General features: G+C 41.4%; 1 protein-coding gene across 1 annotated transcript in view; it reads right to left on the bottom strand.

Moving 5' to 3' along the window:
* Positions 1-18,966, bottom strand: part of LAMC1 (laminin subunit gamma 1) — a 122,173-nt gene that overhangs the window by 25,194 nt on the left and 78,013 nt on the right. The window contains exons 2-11 of the mRNA NM_002293.4: positions 16,767-17,071; positions 11,993-12,123; positions 9,745-9,911; positions 5,680-5,868; positions 4,762-4,879; positions 3,724-3,822; positions 3,496-3,632; positions 2,957-3,079; positions 2,676-2,865; positions 2,253-2,365 (exon numbers count right to left, since the gene is read on the bottom strand). Of these exons, the coding sequence (NP_002284.3) occupies positions 2,253-2,365; positions 2,676-2,865; positions 2,957-3,079; positions 3,496-3,632; positions 3,724-3,822; positions 4,762-4,879; positions 5,680-5,868; positions 9,745-9,911; positions 11,993-12,123; positions 16,767-17,071 (1,572 nt within the window). The remainder of the gene's footprint in view (positions 1-2,252; positions 2,366-2,675; positions 2,866-2,956; positions 3,080-3,495; positions 3,633-3,723; positions 3,823-4,761; positions 4,880-5,679; positions 5,869-9,744; positions 9,912-11,992; positions 12,124-16,766; positions 17,072-18,966) is intronic.

Below are 18,966 nucleotides of genomic sequence, written 5' to 3'. Positions count from 1 at the left end.
TTGGTTACTGTGCTTCCAATTCTAAACATCCTTAAGTCTCCCCATTCTAAAAATACTTTCTTCAATCTTGTTCCTACTCCCAAATTATAGTCCATGTCTTTTCCTTATAGCCAAACTTCTTAACTGAACATTCTTTATTTTACTTACTCAACTTCAAATTACTTCTTAAAGCACTGTGATCTTTCAGTTTCAACACCACCCCGCCACCTTTTTTTTTTTTTTTTTTTTTTTGAGATAGATCCACTCTGTAAACTCAGGCTGGTGTGCAACGGCATGATCACAGCTCACTGCGAGCTTGACCTCTTGGGTTCATGCATCCTCCTGCCCTCAGCCTCCGAGGTAGCTAGGACCACAGGTGTGTGCCACCATGCCCAGCTAATTTTTTTGATTTATAGAGACAGAATCTTGCTATGTTGCCCAGGCTGCTCTTGAACACCTAGCCTCAAGCAATCCTCCTGCCTCAGCCTCCCAAAGTACTGGAATTACAGGCATGAGTTACCACGCCTGGACAGTTTTAACACTTCTTAAAAACAAAAACTCAGCAGTGATTAAGGAATCACCAATCCAAAACCCAACGATGCTAGCTTCCTAAACTTGTTAATTGTTTCTCTTTCTTAAAATTCTTTTTCTCCCTTGGCTCTTATTTATTTATTTTACTTTTTTTTCAGACAGGGTCACACTCATTGTCCAGGCTGGAGTGGAGTGGCACAATTACCACTCACTGCAGCCTTGACCTCCTGAGTGCACGTGATCCTCTCACCTCAGCCTCCAGAGAAGCTGGGACTACAGGCATGCACCACCATACTGTGCTAATTTTTGTACTTTTTAGTAGAGATGTGGTTTCGCCATGTTGCCCTTGGGTCTTAGAGCATGGACTTAACTGTTTCCAGGATTCCATCCTTCTTTTCCATCTATATTTTCTGTCATATTTCCAAGTTTAAAAATTATTGCCCATATGTTGACAACCTTCTAAATCTGGATCGCTAGTCCTAATCTCTTCCTAAGCCCCAGATTCATATTTCTAACTACTTATAAGCCATTTTTATCTGGATATTCATGCAGGCATTTCAAAAATCAACACATCTAAGCTGCAGATGCCTCTCCCAATACCACATCATCACTAACTCCACCTCCCCAAACAGCTGTACCTTGCTAGAGAAAAAGGTCCTTGTTTAAAACTTTTTTTTAAGAAAAAAAATTTTGACCGGGTGCAGGGGCTCATGCCTGTAATCCCAGCACTTTGGGAGGCCGAGGCAGGGGGATCACCTGAGGTCAGGAGTTTGAGATCAGCCTGGCCAATATGGTAAAACCCCATCTCTACTAAAAATACAAAAATTAGCTGGGTGTGGTGGGGCGTGCCGGTAATCCCAGCTACTTGGGAGGCTGAGCAGGAGAATCGCTTGAACCAGGAGGCGGAGGTTGCAGTGAGCCAAGATCATGCTATTGCACCACAGCCTGGGTGACAGAGCAAGACTCCGTCTCAAAAAAAAAAATTTTTAAGTCTTAAACTCTTGTTCACCAAAAATTATAACAAAATCATTCAATAATTTATGACTTTTAATAATTTAACCAATGGCTCAAATTATAAATTATAATTACACAACAGTAAATAAAAAGAAATGAAGATGAGGCAACTTGAGCCAGTAGAATTATAATCAGATTTTTTTTTTTTTTCTGAGACAGATTCTCATTCTGTCGCCCAGGCTGGAATGCAGTGGCATGAGCTCAGCTCACTGCAACCACTGCCTCCCGGGTTTAAGCGAATCTCATCCCTCAGCCACCCAAGTAGCTGGGATTACAGGCTTTTGCCACCCCACCTGGCTAATTTTTGTATTTTTAATAGAGACGGGGTTCCACCATGTTGGCCAGGCTGGTCTCAAACTCCTGGCCTCAAGTGATCTGCTCGCCTCAGCCTCCCAAAGTGCTAGGATTACAGGTGTAAGCAACTGCGCCTAGCCTATAATTAGGTTTTTTAGAAAATCTATTTATATACAATGTAACCTCAATTGACCTACTGATCAATTGAGTAATCAATTAGTAAATAATACTATTTACTAATTTTACCAAATTTTTTCCAGGTCCTTGAAAGCCGTTAAAAAATGCATTGTCTTTATATATAATTCATGTATAATGTGAGTTGTTATACACTTCTCAGTGTTATATTATTAGGAAAGAGAAACTTTTGCATTATCATGAATCTTTCTAACCAATCATCTTTTTAAACAACTCTCCTAAATTATATCATAACTTACTTCTCTCACTGTATGTCCCACGTATCTTGATAGAGGTCAAGTTGTTTAGGAGCTTCTGAAATTCAAAAGGGGTAAGAGCAGGCCTCCAAGGGTAATCTGTTGCTTCATGGAGCCTGGAGAGAAAGAAAGGGCCACATTAACCTCTGTAAGGACAATTCTGGATGTTGGGGAAATATTTCTTATTCATTTATGCCCCAACAATGCAATGCTCTAACAATCAAATCAAATAAAAAATAAGACTATTGGTTTGGTAGTACAATTGGAAAAGATAAAGGTAAAGAAAGGAAGGCTCCCTTTTACAAAATCACCACAATAACCCAGAAGTTTTTCTTTAAAATACATCTAGAGGCCAGTTAAACTTAAATAAAGACACCACTTTCACAATGTTCGTCAAGTCTCACTTTACAAAGAAGGCTATCTTACCTGAAGACATACTTCACAGTGGTCTCACTTGGATAGGAATTGCCCTGAGCGATCAAGGGTACAGATACTCTTAAGCCAGCTCCCTCAAGCACAAGGTCTTCTGCAGAGAGGCGAGTATCTCGCCTGTCCACTCGAAAGGAGAAGGAGAGGTTCTGACCATAACTCAACACCTGCTTGCCCAAGAACTTTGCTGGAATACAGACACAATGGTGGGCAAGAATGTGAGACTGAGACTAAACAGAGGCACACAGCAGGTCAGACTGCTTTCTAGCCTTACTTACCAGGAGCAATGAAGTACCGAGGAAAGTAGCTGTCTGAGATCACGGCGATATCTTGCCTCTCAGAGGACCACTCGAGAGATGCTTCAGAGCCATCTCTCTGTTCCGCACGCCACCCATCCTCATCTGCAGGTAGAGAAGGAAAACACAAGCACTTTACACTGTAAACATCCTGAATTCAGGTCCTCTATGTATCATAAAAATGTGTAAGACCACACCTTGTATACAGAAAGGCATCAATAAACCTTTTTGAATAAATGGATCCTACAACAGTACCAATATATGCTATACCACTCAAACTATATTTTACTTTATTACTATTTATATAACATTTGTAATCACCATTCATTGAGATAAATTCTAAAGCCAAAAGTACATTTTCATTAAATTAAAAGGCCAAACTACAAAAACTATGCATGCTAAATAATACAAAGTGTTGCCAACCATCAAAAAGCCCTCAAAGAGTCACTGATTTTATTTTTAAAAATATTTTAAGTGTAATCTCACAGTTCTAACAGGTTGGGGGATGAGGTCTAAATTACCAATCTGAAAGGTAGAGGAGATAGAATAAACACTGTAGCCAACAGCGTTTGTACAGACAGAAGAATGCCCAAAGCAGAAGCAGGGTGTGCAACCCCGAGGATTAGATGATTCCAGATTAAAAAATCCAGGTTTGCATCTGAAAAAGATTAAGACACAATCAGTTACTTTTTTTTTACTTGAAATATGGTAACAGAAAACACAATGCAGCTAGAGAAAGAATGCACTACCTTTCACAATTGAAGCCTTCGACATTGTCTTTGCAAACACATCTTCCTGTTTCAATATTACATTCATCTATGCTGCCAGAGGGATCACAAGAGCATGGCCTATTCAATGAAAAATGGATAAAACAATCAGAGAAGGGAGAAAACTTCCACTCTTCAAGTCAGCCCTTTGTTTTACATGTTAACAGATTTTTTTTTTTTTGAGACAGAGTCTCACACTGTCGCCCAGGATGGAGTGCAGTGGCGCCATCTCAGCTCACTGCAACCTCCGCCTCCAGGGTTCAAGAGATTCTCCTGCCTCAGCCTCCTGAGTAGCTGGGACTACAGGCGCACGCCACCACACCCAGCTAATTTTTGTATTTTTAGTAGAGACAGGGTTTCAAAATGTTGGCCAGGATGGTCTTGATCTCTTGACCTTGTGATCCGCCTGCCTCGGCTTCCCAAAGTGCTGGGATTACAGGCGTGAGCCACAGGCGCCCAGCCAACAGACTTTTTTAAAAGAAATACACATAGAACAAAATGGACCCTAAAGTCATTTTTTTTTTTTTTGAGACAGAGTCTCGCTCTGTCACCCACGCTGGAGTGCAGTGGCGCGATCTCGGCTCACTGCAAGCTCCACCTCCCAGGTTCACGCCATTCTCCTGCCTCAGCCTCCCGAGTAGCTGGGACTACTGCTGCCCGCCACCACGCCTGGCTAATTTTTTTTGTATTTTTAGTATAGACGGGGTTTCACCATGGTCTTGATCTCCTGACCTCGTGATCCAGCCACCTTGGCCTCCCAAAGTGTTGGGATTACAGGTGTGAGCCTAAAGTCATTTTTATATTTGGTTTCAGTTTAAGATAGTCATCCCATTAAAACTCTGCTTACTCTCTGTACAAGCCAAACCCCTTGTGGCTCACCATTACAGCTAGTCCTCAGTCTTGTTGACAATTATTACAGGAAAAATGTTTACCCTGCTGCCAATAAGCCATAAGATCTATTAATATGTGTTGACTATATATAGATTCTGCCCCCTTCTTCTGGCTTTGAAAATATTTTACCTGCATCCTGCTTCAGTGAGAGAATGGAATCCAGGCTGGCAACGGTCACATTTGTCCCCCATCACTCCTGGCTTACAGCTGCATCTGCCGTAACTATCACACTGTGTGCTTAGAGAGCCTAAAATGTAAAATGCCTATTGTCAAACAAAAATTCGGCCAGATACGTAAGTAAAATCAATGTGTTAAAGAAAGATAACTGGTAATTAAAAGCAATGCCTGAGAACCAGTATGCAATCTCCTGATGGTCACAAAGGTAATAAAAACCAAATTTTAAATCAGAACTTTCTCAAAATCATGACCCTTTAAGTCATGGCATTTTAAGTTTCTAGACACATGCTAAGATGAATTTACTCATCAATGTTGAAAATCACTTTGTACCCAATGAAACACTGCACACAAGATCAGTTACTTCTCTGTGGGTGATCACAGCCCCTTAAGGCCCATGTCTAGAATTTAAGTATATATAGGCCTAAATGACAAATATAAAGGTTAAACTCTTGAAGAATGGGCTAGACTAAGAATGCTGTGCATCTCTGTACACACGCAAACATGCTAAGAATATTTCAGCACTCTAAGGAGATTAGACTAAACAAAATCATCAACAAGGAAGAACTCACAAAGCAGTTAACCTTTTACAGTCAAAGTTCAAATTGTCTCTATGATCCTGCTGCTAATTATTTGCAGAACCATTACTCAGGCCACCACCCCCCTCTTACACACCAGAAACTCATCTGAAAGTTCAACTTGGTTAAAAAAGGTGGAGGCATGGGGTAGAGACAGATCTTGACTGATTTCTGTGTTACAATAATGTATACATCTCCACATTTAGTTGTCCAAATGCCTTGGAAACAAAGCTTTCCTTTCCGGGGGTCCACGGAACTATCATTTTGTCTTTCAATCCATCTTCCTGTCACTTACCCACAGGACTACAGTGGCATGAAGAGCAGGCTTCATTGTTGCCAAGGCGGAAGAAGTTCTCTCGGCACCTCTCACAGTGGGCGCCATCTGTGTTATCCTGGCAGTTGGTACAGTGGCCCCCATGGCCAGTGGAACGATAGAGTTCAGGGTCGAAGTAGCATTCCTGGGATCGACCATTGCAATCACAGGCTGTCAGTCAAAACACACGAGTTACATCAGATCTGGGTACCTTTAAGAAGAGCATTTTAAGACTTAAAACCAAACATAATTTCCCACATCTCTGAGACAGACAGATGGTGGTAGACTAAGAATGATTACCAGATGCACTGTTCATTAACAACAACAAGAAGGTCAGGTGCAGTGGCTCATGCCTATAATCCCAGCACTTTGGAAGGCTGAGGCAGGCAGATCACCTGAGGTCATGAGTTTGAGACCAGCCTGGCCAACACGGTGAAACCCCATCTCTACTAAAAATACAAAAAATTAGCCGGGTGTGGTAGCAGATGCCTGTAATCCCAGCCACTTGGTAGGCTGAGGCAAGAGAATCGCTTGAGCCTGAGAGGCGGAGGTTGCAGTGAGCTGAGATCACGCCACTGGGCACCAGCCTGGGCGACAAGAGCTAAAACTCTGTCTCAAAAACAAACAAACAAAAAACCACCACCAACAAAACCCAACAGGATGTCAATAAAGGGTATATACAGCCAGATGATAAAGAAATGTTCCTCCCTCTAAAAAACAGCACCATCGTAAGATACAAGGAATTCTCGTACTTAGAAAATAATCTGCCTCCAGGTAATTGTTCATATACAAGTAAAAGTCAAGTCAAATTATAATTCTCCTGAATCTTTAGCCTTTATTCTAGTATCAACTCCAAAAACAAAGTGCCATTTTATATGCAGGCTTCAATTTACCTTAACTTTTTAGGCCTCAGATGAGTCAAATACATTAAGACACTAACTTCCAAAGTGCCAGATTATTTATATATCTAGACTGGGGTAACTTGAGACATATGGGTCAAAATTAGTGCCACGACAGATGAAAGCAGAATTAAAAAGAAATCTAGATCCTCCAGAAACATCCATGTACAGGGAAGCCTCAACTCCAAATGGGTGATCTGTTAAGTAGCTATATTCCCTGCAGGGCACAACCATATTTCAAGACCAAGTATCTGTAGTCACAAAAATTCCTTACTATATTTATAATAAAAAGATTTTTTTCTGAGTTATTGATTCTTCCCAAAATGTAGACAGTATCTTGAAGAGTAAATAAAAAGAAGTTTTATTTGGTTTCAAATCGAACAGGATGTTGTTTAAAAAAAATATTCGAATACATCTTTTTTGGAATATATTTTTCTTTTTTAATGCAGACTTCTTCTAACCAAAATCATGAACACATTTTGATTTGTTTGTTTTTTGGAGACAGGGTCTCACTCTGGAGTGCAGTGGTGTCACCATAACTCATTGCAGCCTCAAATTCCTGAGCTCACGTGATCCTCCTCCTGCCTTAGCCTCCCAAGTAGCTGGGACTACAGGTGTGTGCCACTATACTCAGCTAATTTTTAAAAAATTTTTTGCAGAGACAAGGTCTTGCTCTGTTGCTCAGACTGGTCTCAAACTCCCAGGCTCAAGTGATCCTTCTGCCTCATCCTGCCACGTAGCTGGGAGTACAGGCACATGCCACCATGCCTTGCTAATTATTTTATTTTTTATTTTTGCAGAGACAGGGTTTCACTATATTGCCCAGGTTGGTCCCAAATGAGTCTCCCACCTTGGCCTCCCAAGTGCTGGGACTGCAAGTGTGAGCCACCATACTCAGCCCCTTTTGTTCTTTTTCTCTCTTTCTTATGATCAGTTATTTCATAGTACAGTATTACAACTGAAAACTTTTTTAGAAACTTGAGTTATTGCCACCAAAAATTAGAGTTTTGTTAAGTTAGTTTTAAAGTGCCCTTTTCCTTCCTTCATTAGCTATTTCTCTTCCCTCAAGACGCCCTAGCTTATCCCTCAATCCACCAAGCCCAACCCACCTGAAGATCTGATGTTCTGAGACGGTAAAGCAGAATAACACCACTGTCCACACTGTCCCAACCTACAGCTAAAGCAAATGCCATGGCTCCCTCCTTGAGAGAAGGTAGTTCTCTTCCCTAGCCCTAGCATCCTGACAATTAATGTAGTATTGTCACAACATCCAGAAATGTCACTCTTTGAAGTGTCACAGTGCTGAAGGGACCAACGAGAAAAGCAAATTGACTTAGTTCCTCATCAAAGTCCTTTAGCTACAGTACTCAGTTCATTTGCTAGAGGTGAATTGGCAATGTTTGGTTCTTTAAGTAACTTCCTGGATAGACTCAAAATACGACATTATTAAGCAGAATGCTTTTCAAGCACACATGTCCATTTATTTAGATGCCACATATTAGGAGTATTTCATTCTTGTACCAGCCTTTATTGTAGAGCTTCCAACACTGAATATTACAGTTCAGTAATGGAATTAAAGAAGGTCAAGCAAGTGCTTACAAATGTTAGAGGAGGCTGTAAATTTTACTTGCAAATCTTAGGATTTGTTGAAAAGATGAATAAGAAAATCTCCTCTCGGCAGTTCAGTGGAAACAGTAGTGAGTTAAGATAGTGGTCCCTTCTCGGGGTTTCTGCCAATAATTTTTTTGTTTGTTTTTGTTTTTTGAGACGGAGTCTCACTCTGTTGCCCAGGCTGGAGTGCAGTGGCGCAATCTTGACTCACTGCAACCTCCGCCTCCCAGGTTCAAGCAATTCTCCTGCCTCAGCTTCCCAAGTGAGTAGCTGTGATTACAGGCGTGCACCACCACACCTGGCTAATTTTTCTATTTTTAGTAGAGACGGGGTTTCACCATGTTGGCCAGGCTGGTCTCGAACTCCTGACCTCAGGTGATCCAACCCCATAGGCCTCCCAAATGCTGAGATTACAGGCGTTAGCCACCGTTCCCAGCCTCTGCCAATAATTTCTGCAAGTTAAGAGTATCTTCTTTTTCTCTTTATTCTTAACAGAATATGATAAACAATATTTGTAAGGACATAAGAAAAGTATTTCTGCTTTAAAATCATGATTAAAAGGTTCCTTTCTCCTGAGATTTCTTTCTCTATCTGTTCAGAATAAACCATGACATTATGAAGGGATAAACAATGTTTCAAGTTTTTTCATTTTACTTTTTTTTCATTTTTACCTTTTTCTAGGAATACTAGGACCTATTCTTCTTCCCAAAGCTACCCACCTCTCCAACAGGGGAGTGGGAAAATTCTCCCCGTTGTACTCTTCAGTGAGATAAAGAAAAAATAGTTTTGAGAAAAAATCTTGTGCGGCCAGGCGCAGTGGCTCCCACCTGTAATCCCAGCACTTTAGGAGGCCAAGGCAGGTGGATCACCTGAGGTCAGGAGTTCGAGACCAGCCTGGCCAACATGGTGAAACCCCGTCTCTACTAAAAACACAAAAGTTAGCTGGGCATGGTGGCATGCACCTGTAATCCCAGCTACTCAGGAGGCTGAGGCAAGACAATCACTTGAACCCAGGAGGTGGAAGTTGCAGTGAGTTGAGATCACTCACTCCAGCCTAGCTGACAGAGTGAGACTCAGTCTCAAAAAAAAAAAAAGAAAAGAAAAAAGAAATAATCTTGGAATGGCCCTCTTAGCCTAGAACTCATTATATTTGATACATGTTAATTACCTTGGATGCCTGAGCATTGATAAAAATAATAGTATTTTAAAGGGGAACAAATACGACTAGAGAAACCATATTCCGGAGTAGACTACACTGGCCCAGTATTTGGATCCAAACAAATTTCTAAACCTTGCAGATGCTGCTCCAACTCTGGGACATGTGTTCATGAAGGAAACACAAAACCCTCAGTTTGCCTTTACAGTGAATTGCCCTCATCTATGACTTTCCTCTGACTTGAATACTACTCAAATTACACAAAAAGCTGGCCTTTCAGAGCTTTCCTTTCAAGGAGGAATAAAAGAAAGTCACCCATTCCTTCTTCCACCCTTGGAAGTCCTTAAGACAACTGACAGACTGACGTCATGGGGCACTCACGCAGGCATTCACTGGCACTTTCCGCAGTTGCCCTCCTCCACGGCCGGTCATTGAAGAAAGGAAGACACTTTTCACAGTCTACTCCATATGTGTTATGTTTGCAATTACACACCAGCTTATCAAATTCGTTCTTCATACACTCGCTTGCGTGTCCATTACATTTACATCTGGGGAGAGAAGAGATACTCCAAAAAATGGAACAGCTGCAAAGTCCCAGAAATGCACACAGAAAAACTATGTACACAAAGAAGTAAGTTTTACCATTCAAAAGTGTAAACTGGGGAACTGAGCAAGATTAAGTAATGGATGTCTGAATTTTTAAGGATAAAAAAAATTAAACAAGGTAGCTTTACTTAACAGGGGTAGGGATTAACCAGGTATGAAAAGAAAGTCCCTAACAATTTCTGAGGCTACCTGTAGGATCAATTCCTGAAGTCAAACCTGTGTGTCAAGAGGTAGCAGAATATAGTGGTTCAGAAAAGCATGGACTCTGAAGCCAGGCTGCCTGGGTTTGAAACCCTTCCCTGTCACTTACCAGTGTAACTTAACCTCTGTGCCTCGCCTGTAAAACAGGGATGATGACAATGCCTATTTCATAAGGTTATTGGGAAGATCAAGGAGTGCTTTATTTATGTGCTCAGGATTGCAAAACCACAAAATAAGTTGATGAACATCAGCAATTATCTGCCATAATGATTTTAAAGTATTCCGACCTAAAGGTGGTGAGACACATTAGATACCTCACCCCCATATGGATGTTTGGTAGTCAGACTAATATCCCCTGAGGTTGTCTGGAGCAAGAATCCCTGAAAGATCCCCTAGATGCAAGTATGATAACAAATTAAGGACTCATGGAAATTCCCATCAATACTAATGTACACCATGGAGTCGTAATGTTCCCCTCACTTGCTTCCTTAATGACAGCAATCAGTCTCATAGCTTCAACTACCATTCACTGATACACTAAAATACTTCAGAATCATTGATAGTGTGGCAGGACAAGTCCCAAATTTAGATCTCCAGCTCTCATCTTCTCTCAAGCTCTTATCCTTGACTGCTGCACAAACTTTGATGTCCCCCATGACCTGAAATTTTACATATGTATAACCAAACTCTTCAGTTTAGCTCATCTTCTTTATTTTGTTAATGGTACCAACCATTCTCCTGATCACTAAATAAAAGGACCTTTGACTGAAGTCCTGGTAACATTTCCTTCACAATAAAATGCATCTATATGTTCCTTTCCATTCTGCTGCCACCAGCTTAATGTCATGTATTTGTTGCCTAATCCAGCATCATAACAGGAATATAAATTCCCTCAATTGTATACTATTTTTACCCTGTTTGCACATTAATCCTCCTGGCCCACTGTTTTCTTACCAGAGTCCTACTCCAAAAATTCTGCCTGATTTCTCATTGGGTACAGTTCCCATCAACTTTCACTAAGCACCAATCCCATACCGGAAACAATGTAAACAAAAATAAGTTTTCTGCTTTTGGGATCTCATGGTCTAACACAGGGGAGGTAAGTCCAAGATTCTTCACCTGCTGTTTAAGGTCTCTGGCCACGAAACTATCTTTCTGGTTTACAACTCTACAAATTTAAGAGATTTTCCTTCAGTTAAATGGGTTTATACTCTCCCGTCTCTAAACTTCTGCTTACAACATGTCCATCCTCTTGCATCCAACCAAGGCATCCTCTCCTTCCTTATCCAAAGCTTTCAAGACCCAGCTTAGATGCCATCTGCTTCTCTAGCCTGGCAGTTTTGGATCATTCTTGATATGTGGCATCTTTTCTACTGCTGCTTTATCTATTTTTTAAAAACAGGTGATTACAAGTATTTCAGTTTTCACATATTCATACATTGCCTACCCTGTTCATGTGTAAGATCCAAGAAGGTCAGGACTTCTCCGTAGGATAAGGTGAGTCTTACCCTTCCTCAAGTGCTTCACAGTGCCCTTGCACTTAAATTGTCAATAAGAATTCACTAAATGTGTGGATTTGACAAGGTTTTGGAAAACCTACATGCTTAGTTTCCAGAACAACAAGAAGATCTCACAGTGAAAATATCCTAGGCTGCTGTCTGTCTTTTCAGCTAAGCATTATCACACAGGAAGGACTGCCGCTCCTATTCTTGGTAAAGAAAACATCTAACAACGGTATTAACATAGTTGTAAACAAGTTGCTAGATTCACCTCTATGCAAAAGCTCCAAACACTTTCAAGACTAATTTAATAGTTTACTTACCTGCCACCTACAGCAAAATCAGAGATGGCATAATAATAGGACTTGAGAACTTTGGGATCGTTAAACACTTCATCTCCAAAAGTGTTCAGGCGATTAAGAGTTACTCTGATGTCAGTGGCAGTTACCCATTCCTGTCAGGAAGCAAAAATAGAAACATAAAAGAGAAGTGGAGGGACTGAAAATGATATAAATGTGACAAAATGTTCTAAATCACTAACTTATTATCATTTAACTTACGCCCTCTTTAGCACTAAATCTATTATAATACTCAATGACTTCTTTAATTTTCTAATATTTTTCTCCTTCTTGACTCTTCCCTTCTTTAATTTGTTACTTTACTACTCGGAGTCTCCAAAAACAAGGATAATAACTAATTTCTTTGCAAGGCTGCTGAGAGGCTTAAATAAAATATAATGTGCAGCATAAATTAGGGACTCGATACACATGCCCCTTCCCTCCATCCTGTATCTGGACCCCAAATCCAGTAAGGGATACCAGCTTAGAGCTCATGGGGCACCACATTTGGATCAGAGATGCTGGTCATTGCCTGCCCCTGTCCTTTTTTTTCTTTTTTTTTGAGATGGAGTCTCGTTCTGTCGCCCTGGCTGGAGTGCAGTGGCGTGATCTCAGCTCACTGCAAGCTCCACCTCTTGGGTTCACGCCATTCTCCTGCCTCAGCCTCCCGAGTAGCTGGGACTACAGGCGCCCGCCACCACGCCCAGCTAATTTTTTGTATTTTTAGTAGAGACAGGGTTTCACCGTGTTAGCCAGGATGGTCTCGATCTCCTGACCTCGTGATACACCCGCCTCGGCCTCCCAAAGTGCTGGGATTACAGGCGTGAGCCACCACGCCTGGCCACCCCTGCCCATTTTATAGCATCTATTCCTCCCTGCCAACCCAATCCCCTACTGACAGATCTGAGGGAGATGCTCAAGTACTCGCTAATAAATCATTACTTAGGCTTGAACCAATAGGATGTTGTCTGTGTTTGTCTTGACCCTCCCCACAATATCACCTTCTCTCTGAGGCCTTCCCTGGCCACCTTATCTAACATTGCTACCCCTACCCAACTCCCTATTTCCCACTCTCATTTTATTTACATTGTCTTTTTCCACACACACCTTCCCCTTCCCACCACACTGTAAGTACCACGAGGGCAGGAAATTTCTATTTTGTCCACTGCCATTTCCCTAGCATGCAGTAGGTATGCGAACTATTATTTGCTAAGTGAATGAATGAATTTGAAGAAACCATAACTTATCAAGTTGGTAGGTGTACCATAATGGCAGAGGACAAGCATGGGGGCTGTAGAGTTTTTCCCTAGGTTTTATGAGATCTAAGCCCTTACACTGAGCTAATTTTAGGCAGATGTTTACATGTGTGGTAGAATGCTATACTAATGATCCCAGTGAATCATGTCTGCTAGGGCCCACAACCAGTGCAGTCTCTTTCTCTGCTGACTCTAGGCTTGGGTGTGTGACTGGTTTCAGCCGAGGGTACATCAACAAATGTGACATAAGCAGAGGCTTGACAAGTACTTGTGCACAGGGACTCACCCTCCCAGATCACTTCCGCTGTGGTGTAAATCCTGGTCAAGCTTCCTGATGATAAAAGACCACAGGGAGACAGAGACCCAGGCCCCAGCTGACCTGTCAGGTGAGTGACCCAGGCTAACACAGAATCATGAGAAATCATAAATCACAGTTATCTAAAACCATTAGGTTTTGGGGTGGTGTATTACATATAACCACTCAAAGACAGCATTTCCATTTTAAGTCTTTCCTAGGGACTGCACAACAAAATCACCTTTGGAGACGTAACAAGCAAGTGCAGAGGTGCAGACATCTATGTTTTCAGAAGGCTCCAGGTGAGTCTGGGAGGCACAGCTCTGATTTGGAACCACTGCCTTAAGCCACACCAAATACCTGGCATATAGAACAACATGGAGAGCTCATAAAAGCTAATCTCCACAAAGCCTTCAAGTATAATTAGAAAGGAAAAGAGACGACGATTTCACCATATCCAAACTTGGAACTCCAATAACAACTCCTACTCATGGCCACAACAGTAGGAATCTTTTAGTCATCTGTAATGTAAATAGCTAAACATATTTCTGTGTTTAATGCTTATTATATCTTCTACAAGGCTTCGACCTTATCACAGCTCTCTTTGAATAAGAGCTTCTCAAAAAGCTAAGCCATTTTTTTTTCCTAATGGGCATCTTTAAAGAACAGACCCCGGAGCTAGACCCTGCAGGTTTTGAATTCCAGTTCTGCCACTTAAACTGTGTGATTTGGGGCAAGTTATGTCCTTTCTGGGCCTCTGATTCCTCATCTGTAAAATGGAGACAATAAAAGTATCTACCTTACAGGGTTACTGTGAGGGTTAACTGAGGTAGAAAATCAAAGGGCTTAGAACAGTGCTTGTCACATTATAGTATGCTATAGTAAGTGCTTTAATAAATGTAAATTATTACCATAAATCAACACATGCTTAGTAATACTTATAATATGGTGAAACCAAAAAGGGTCTCCTTCCCCATCTGGGAGATTACAGCTTCTGCAGGGAGGTTTAGGGAGCAATGAAGAGAGGAAGAGAGGCAAGAGTTCTCTCTCATTGTCAGATCAGCTAAAAGTCAAATTAGCTCAACCTCCTTGGCAACTGGGTATCAGAGACAGAGCTCTTACATCCAGAGACACGTAACTCATGTTACTGCATAATGAAACTGACTGACCACGTCTATGCAGATGCCCACAGCATTTTTTTTTTTAAATGCAAGGTCATAACCCATAGCATTTTTACCACACAGTCTCATTACCTCATATAGTCTCACTAGTTTCTACGGCATAAAGAGCAACAAACATCACAATTCTTACAGTTGGGGAAATGGCTCAAGACAGGCTGACTGGGTGTACAGTTAGCAAAGGTGCCAGAAAACCACAGTTACAACTTTGTATCACTGCATTTTCTACTGACTACACTGTTCTTTCTCTGTTCTTTCTATTGTTGCCTCATCAGGACAGGAAAATGCAATAATTTGCTGTAGGAAAGAAAGAAGTCTGGCAAATGTTTGCTAGCTGATCAACTTAAAGAGTATTTGTAGGTCACCTCTCCACTGGGCATTCGGTCTTCTGCTTTTTCTTTTCTTTTCTTTCTTTCTTTTTTTTTTTTTTTTTTTTTTGAGATGGAGTCTCACTCTGTTGCCCAGGCTGGAGTGCAGTGGCATGATCTTTGCTCACTGCAACCTCCACCTCCCGGGTTCAAGTGATTCTCCCGCCTCAGCCTCCCAGCCAGGGTAGCTGGGATTACAGGCACCTGCCACCATGCTTAACTAACTTTTTTTTTTTTTTTGTATTTTTAGTAGAGACAGGGTTTCACCATGTTGGCCAGGTGGGTTTTGAATGCCTGACCTCAAGTGATCCACCTGCCTCCGCCTCCCAAAGTGCTGGTATTACAGCCATGAGCCACTGCGCCTGGCCCTGCTTTTTCATCTATCAAAATCAGCTATTCTCTCGGCCATTTATTTTGAACACAACTTATCTCCATTGCAAGAAACACTTTTTTGCAAGGTGTTGGCAAGCACACTCATTGCTCACCATAACCTCAGAGTTTACCAACAGCTTTCACATTCATGCTTTCCCAGCAACTTACAGAAATACAATGGAAGGGGGGCAACTGAACCCACAGAAAAATATATTCTTATCTTTTGTCACTGTCCAAAACCATACAATTAGAAAGAGAGTCCCTGAACATAATAACGGTGAGAAAGAATAAGAAGATCCAAATTAGAAACCCTAGAAAAATGGGGTATTTCCTATTTAGAAATCACAATAGCTTTTCATATAATGTACACAGCATTTGAAAACCCATTATCAGACTTTCTTGTTTCAGTCAACTGACAAAGGCTATCCCCATGTGGTTGTTGACTTCAGCCACATGCAGCAGCATCTCCAATTCTGTGTTAAAGTGCTGAGTACAGCATGAGGCTCACCAGCTTTTCCATAATCAAATAGCCAGGACATATGAAAAGTTCACAGAAATATGAGCAACATAGAAGAATTCCGTATTATGGTGTATAAGGAATATGCATGTAGAATTCAGGAGAAAAAAGAAATCCTTCTCAAACAGGGAAAGGTTTCTATCACAATGTTTAAGTACAGTGCTATGGGTACCTAAATTAATATCCTGTTACTAACATCCATATCCTGTTACTAACATCATCCATTTTAGGTGATGAGGAGTTTCTTTAATGATCAGCAATCGTGCCAGACAAATCTAATCAAAATTTTCTTGTGTAAAAATGAAAGAAGATGGCATTCTTAAATATCTTGCTTCAACGGTTCCCCTTTGCTAATTTTAAAAAATACATTTTATTTTGTCAAATCAAAAAATAGGCAAGAAAAGATCCAAGAAATCTGGGTAATTAGGTCAAATGTTCTCTTCAAAAGGTCAGAAGGAAAATGTTTCCACCTCAGGTACAGAGACTAACGTTAAAATTGTTTGACTTTTTAAAAAATGTGTAAAGTTTACATCCCAGAATAGATCTGCAAGTGCATAAGAACAAACATCAACCAGGCAGCAGGAACAAAACTACTTTCCTTCACTTATTAATAGTACACAGAGAGCAGAATCAAGCTCTCTGTCTGTGTTGCTCAAGTATTCTACTCTGACCCCGTACCTCAGAAGTGGGACCACAAGCCCCACTACAATAATCTTCCCACACCTCGCATGTTGTAGAACTAGCTGGCTTCAGGCCAACCTGTGAGAATTTACCTGCAGCACAGGGCTATTGTCAAAGTTATAGGCGCTGGGCCTTCCTTCCAGGGTAGAAAAGGCCACGTTGCCCCCAGTGAGGGGAGAAATGTCACTGAATTCATCAGTACACAAGGCCTGCTGCTCGTCCCCTCCTGTCCTGATGAAGCCGCGGTTTGCCTTGGAGTAGGTGTTCTCACAGGAACCACTGTAGTACTGGTAAGGAATCCAGGGCCCGTCTTCCCGTGTGCGCTTGTAAATGGCAAAGCTCTCCGGGCGGCTGGTGTGGAACTTGAGACGCACATAGGTGATGTCAAAAGCTTTTCCTGTGGGACAAACACATCAAAGGTCATAAATCATACGTATGAAGCAAACAAATGCCCTCTATTCCCAGCTTAGTTTGGAACTTGACAAAGGATATAAATCTCCTTGTACACATCAAACCAAGAAGACAGGCTATTCTAAAACAGAAAACTACGTATTTTCCCCCAAAATGACAAACTGCAGTTGGGTCCATAAGTTGGCTCATAAAGGCCTGTCGTGATGTGCATTGTGGAAATGTTGTGTGCAATGAAAACTGGCGGCGTATGTTAGTACTGTACTTATACTATTAATTAAAACTAAAGTTGAATAAAAAGTACGTTTATTCTTAATGCTGGTACTTCAGCAAAAGCTTAATTAAAAGATACAAAAGCAAATATATGCTAACTTTCTAAATGGGTCTCCAGGCCCTTTAAGACTTTAAAAAAACCTCATTCTCTATTAACTGTAACGTTACTCTTGACGCAGAAAGAATATCATCAGCTCTATTCTTCTACTTATCTACCAAGTTAAGATACAGACATTTGAAGAAGGGAGGACAGTGTTTGAGAGATGTAGCAGGGAGTAGAATAAGAAAGAGGAAAAAAAATTCCTTCAGTGGATGAACAATGAAATGGGGGAAAAAAGACAAAGGGAGAAAGGAGGTTTAAAAAGGTTGTTTCAATATGTTCAAAAGAGAATATATGAGAAATGAGCTCTGAGCAGAGAGGAAAAGACAGCAGTCACTGGGGCAGACAGTTCCCTGCAAAAGCCAGAGTGTGGTCTTATGGTCAGGATGGCTTGGTTGCCAGCCAGTGTGTCTTCACATGGGTAAAATATAAAATCACCATTCATTCACACATTGGGTCTTGCTAACTCTAACAATATCTATACTTTGCTACTTCTATGTTATAGTGAAGATCCCAGTTTGGTCAACAAGAATTTGTTGGGCACAAATCTATGCTCAGCTCTATGCTATATACATCAGGGGACAGAATGTGTGAAGACACAGAGATCCCTGTATTCAAGGAGCTTACAGTTTTTTCTCCCTAAGCCAATTAATTCAAGAACCATCCCAACCCTCTCCTACAAAACCCACAGAACAGCAACTTCTGTGCTCTCAGAAGTGTTGAGGAGAGACTTCTGCCACTTTCACTTCCTCGTACCCACTAGTCCCTGAGAGACAAGGAGCGATTCCTCATGTGTGGCCTGGACCCCGCTTTGTCTCTCTCTGGCTGCCGGCTGGAGTCCCCCTCTCTCCTCTCCTGCACTCAGTGCAACACAGTGGGGCTCTGCCTCTGTGTGGGGTGGGGCCTGCCGCTGTCCTGCTGCTGGATCTGGGAGTAAGTGGGTGAGGTCAATTCAGGGAGGAAAAGAGCAGAAAGCCCATGCGAGCTATGTGTCCAGGCCACATTCTTCAACTGAGCGTTCTCTATAATAAAACTGACAGGATGAGCAATATCCGACTATTTCTCAACTGGCCCAGATCTTAGAGGAGGTTGGATTAACTGTCCCCCACATACATGAAACATACTTGCACACACATTAGCTTCAACATAAAGCCATGTGGCATAACAGAAAGAACACAGGATGGGGCATTTTGAGACCTGAGTTCAGGTCCTGACTCCCTCCTTTACTAACCATATGATTTCTGCTCTGCCATTTTCTCTTTGTAAAAATGAAGACAATCCCTGCCCCACCGACTTCAAGAGTTGTTGGAAGGTCAAACTAAGATCTACACATACTTGACTAATTGTAAAATTCTATACAAATATAAGGCATTACCACAATAGGGTTTATAAAGAAAATCCCTGAACTGGGATTCTGAATACGTTCACATAAAAGGACCTGACTGTTCCTGGTACAGTTACTAAAGGATACTATACAAACATGAATATTCTATCTAGGATGCAGTGCATTT

The sequence above is a fragment of the Homo sapiens genome, chromosome 1 (genome assembly GCF_000001405.40).
Source record: "Homo sapiens chromosome 1, GRCh38.p14 Primary Assembly".
Lineage (NCBI taxonomy): Eukaryota > Metazoa > Chordata > Mammalia > Primates > Hominidae > Homo > Homo sapiens.
The sequence above is the reverse complement of the archived record's forward strand: the minus strand, read 5'-3'. Positions and strand labels throughout refer to the sequence as shown.